Source organism: Homo sapiens, chromosome 5 (assembly GCF_000001405.40).
Source record: "Homo sapiens chromosome 5, GRCh38.p14 Primary Assembly".
NCBI lineage: Eukaryota > Metazoa > Chordata > Mammalia > Primates > Hominidae > Homo > Homo sapiens.
Window position 1 is genome coordinate 90030401 of NC_000005.10, and position 4398 is coordinate 90034798.

The 4398-nt window shown below is 40.7% G+C and overlaps 1 annotated feature.

Moving 5' to 3' along the window:
• Positions 1566 to 2065: an enhancer, noted in NCBI's record as "H3K27ac hESC enhancer chr5:89327783-89328282 (GRCh37/hg19 assembly coordinates)". NCBI's record gives its function as "activates a minimal SCP1, AML or CMV promoter by ChIP-STARR-seq in primed H9 embryonic stem cells {active_cell/tissue: H9 hESC(primed)}" and the evidence as "EXISTENCE:reporter gene assay evidence [ECO:0000049][PMID:30033119]".

A 4398-nucleotide genomic window follows, 5' to 3' on the forward strand; every position in this document is an offset into this window, starting at 1 on the left:
ATCAAAAACAGATGTAATACAAAAATACATATAAGTGTTGTTTGGGATGTAAAGAAGTTGGAACCTGAAAACATCATTGGTCGGAATGTGAAACGGTATAGTAACTTTGGAAAATAGCTTGGCAGTTCATCAAAAATTTACACACAGAGTTCTCCTATGACCCAACAATTCTACTCCTAGGTATACACCCAAAATAATTGAAAACATATGCTCATACAAAAACTTGTACATGAATCTTTATAGCAGCATTATTAATAATAGCTAAAAAGTGAAAACAATCCAAATTTCCATCAACTGATAAATGTATAAACAAATGTTGTGCATCCATATAACGAAATATTACTCAGCCATAAAAATGACTAAAATAACAAAACCTGCTACATTAGCCTTGAAAACATTATGCTAAGTGAAAGAAGCTAGATACAAATGGCCACATATTGTATGATTCCATTTACATAAAATGACCAGAATAGACAAATTCATTGAGAGATAAAATAGATTGTTTTCTAGGGAATGAGAGGAAGAAGGAATGGGTAGTTACTGCTGATGGATATGGGACTTCTTTTTCAGGTGATGAAAATATTCTGGAATTAGACAGTAGTGATAACTGTAAAACCTTGTGAATATACCAAAAATCACTGACTTATACACTTTAAAATGATGAATTTTATGGCATGTGTATTACACGTTAATATAATCAATATAATGCAATCAAATTAAAAATCTGAATAAAAACTAATTTTTAAAATGTCTTAACCAGGATTTCCCGGGCAAGATGGCTGAATAGGAACAGCTCCTGTATGCAGCTCCCAGCAAGACCAACGCAGAAGGTGGGTGATTTCTGCATTTCTAACTGAGGTACACAGTTCATCTCATACAGACTGGTTACACTGTGGGTGCAGCCCACAGAGGGCAAGCAGAAGCAGGGTAGGGCATTGCCTTACCCAGGAAGAGCAAAGTGTCAGGGAACTCCCTCCCCTGGCATTTCCTTCCAAGAAAAAGATGTGAGGGAAAGTTTCCTTTGCCTCCAAGGAAAGATGTAAGGGACCTTGCAGTGAGGGGTGGTGCTATCTGGCCCAGATACTATGCTTTTCCCATGGTCTTCGCAACCCACAGACCAGGAGATTCCTTTGGGTGCCTACACCACAAGGGCCCTGGGTTTCAAGCACAAAACTGGGCAGCCATTTGGGCAGACATCGAGCTAGCTACAAGAGGTTTCTTTCATACCCCAGGGGCACCTGGAATGCCAGCTAGGCAGAAACGTTCACTCTCCTGGAAAAGGGGCTGAAGCAAGGGAGCTAAGTGGTCTTGCTCAGCAGATCCTACCCCCACAGAGTCCAGCAAGCTAAGATCCACTGGCTTGAAATTCTCGCTGCCAGCATAGCACTCTGAAGTCGACCTGGAACACTTGAGCTTGGTGGGGGTAGAGGTATCTGCCATTACTGAGACTTGAGTATGCGGTTTTCCCCTCACAGTGTAAACAAATCCGCTTGGAAGTTTGGACTAGGCAGAGCCCGCTGCAGTGGCACAAAGCTGCTGTAGCCAGATTGCCTCTCTAGATTCCTCCTGTCTAGGCAGGGCATCTCCAAAAGAAAGGCAGAAGCCCCAGTTAGGGGCTTATAGATAAAACTCCCATCTCCCTGGGACAGAGCACCTAGGGGAAGGGGCGGCCATGGGCACAGCTTCAGCAGACTTAAACGTTCCTGCCTACTGGCTCTGAAAACAGCAGTGGATCTCCCAGCACAGCGCTTGAACTCTACTAAGGAACAGTCTGCCTCCTCAAGTGGGTCCCTGACCCTCATGCCTCCTGATGGGGGGACACCTCCCAGGAGGTTTCAACAGACACTTCATACAGGAGAGCTCTGGCTGGCATCTGACGGGTGCCCCTCTTGGACAAAGCTTCCAAAGGAAGGAGCAGGCAGCAATCTTTGCTGTTCTGCAGCTTCTGCTGGTGATACACAGGCAAACAGGGTCTGGAGTGGACTCTCAGCAAACTCCAGCAGAGCTGCAGAAGAGGGGCCTGACTGTTAGAAGGAAAACTAGCAAACAAAAAGGAATAGCATCAACATCAACAAAAAAGATGACCACACAAAAACTCCATCCAAAGATCACCAACAGCAAAGACCAAAGCCAGATAAATTCACAAAGATGAGGACAAAACAGCACAAAAGGGCTGAAAATTCCAAAAACCAGAATGCCTCTTCTCCTCCAAGGGATCACAACTCCTCACCAGCAAGGGAACAAAACTGGATGGAGAATGAGTTTGGTGAATTGATAGAAGTAGGCTTCACAAGGTGAGTAAGAACAAACACCTCCAAGCTAAAGGAGCGTGTTCTAACCCAATGTAAGGAAGCTAAGAACATTGATAAAAGGTTAGAGAAATTGCTAACTAGAATAACCAGTTTAGAGAAGAACATAAATGACCTGATGGAGCTGAAAAACACAGCACGAGAACTTCGTGAAGCATCCACAAGTATCAATAGCCAAATCGATCAAGTAGAAGAAAGGATATCAGAGGTTGAAGATCAACTTAATGAAATAAAGCATGAAGACAAGATTAGAGAAAAAAGAATGAAAAGGAATGAACAAAGCCTCCAAGAAATATGGGACTATTTGAAAAGACCAAATCTACATTTGATTAGTGTACCTGAAAGTGACAGGGAGAACGGAACCAAGTTGGAAAACACACTTCAGGATATTATCCAGGAGAACTTCCCCAGCCTAGCAAGACAGGCCAACATTAAAATTCAGAAAATATAGAGAACACCACAAAGACATTCCTCGAGAAGGGCAACCCCAAAACATATACTGGTCAGAATCACCAAGGTTGAAACGAAGGAAAAAATGTTAAGGGCAGCCAGAAAGAAAGGTCAAGTTACCCACAAAGGGAAGCCCATCAGAATAACAGCAGATCTCTCTGCAGAAACCCTACAAGCCAGAAGAGAGTGGGGGCCAATATTCAACATTCTTAAAGAAAAGAATTTTCAACCCAGAATTTCATATCCAAACAAACTAAACTTCATAAGTGAAGCAGAAATAAAATCCTTTACAGACAAGCAAATGCTGAGAGATTTTGTCACCATCAGGCCTGCCTTACAAGAGCTCCTGAAGGAAGCACAAAATATGGAAAGGAAAAACTGGTACCAGCCACTGCAAATACATACCAAATTGTAAAGACCATCAACACTATGAAGAAACTGCATCAACTAATGGGCAAAATAATCAGCTATCATTATGACAGGATCAAATTCACACATAACAATATTAACCTTAAATGTAAATGGGTAAAATGTCCCAATTAAAAGGCACAGACCAGCAAATTGGATAAAGGCTCAAGACTCATTGGTATGCTGTAATCGGGAGACCTATCTCACGTGCAAAGACACACACAGGCTCAAAATAAAGGGACAGAGGAATATTTAGCAAGCAAATGGAAAGCAAAAAAAAAAAAAAAAAAAGCAGGGTATGCAATCCTAGTCTCTGATAAAACAGACTTTAAATGAACAAATATCAACAAAGAAAAAAAGGGCATTACATAATGGTGAAGGGATCAATTCAATGAGAAGAGCTAACTATCCTAAATATATATGCACCCAATACAGGAGCACCCAGATTAATAAAGCAAGTTCTTAGAGACCTACAAAGAGACTTAGACTCCCATATAATAATAGTGGAAAACTTTAACACCCCACTGTCAATATTAGACAGATCAATGTGACAGAAAATTAACAAGGATATTCAGGACTTGAACTCAGCTCTGGACCAAGTGGACCTAAGAGAAATCTACAGAACTCTCCACCCCAAATCAACAGAATATACATTCCTTTCAGCACCACATAGCACCTGTTCTAAAATCAACCACATAATTGGAAGTAAAACACTCCTCAGTAAACACAAAAGAGCAGAAATCATAACAGTCTCTCAGACCATGGTGAAATCAAATTAGGATTAATAAAGTCACTCAAAACCACACAACTACATGGAAACTGAACAACCTGCTCCTGAATGACTACTGGGTAAAAAAGAAATTAAGGCAGAAATAAATAAGTTCTTTGAAACCAATGAGAACAAAGACACAATGTAGCAGAATCTCTGGGACACAGCTAAAGCAGTGTTTAGAGGGAAATTTATAGCACTAAATGCCCATAGGTGAAAGCTGGAAAGATCTAATATTGACACCCTAACATCACAATTAAAAGAACTAGAGAAGCAAGAGCAAACAATTTCAAAAGCTAACAGAAGATGAGAAATAACTAAGATCAAAGCAGAACTGAAGGAGATAGGGACAGGAAAAATTCTTCAAAAATCAATGAATCCAGGAGCTGATTTTTTGAAAAGATTAACAAAATGGACCGCTAGCCAGACTAATAAAGAATAAATGAGAGAAGAATCAAATAA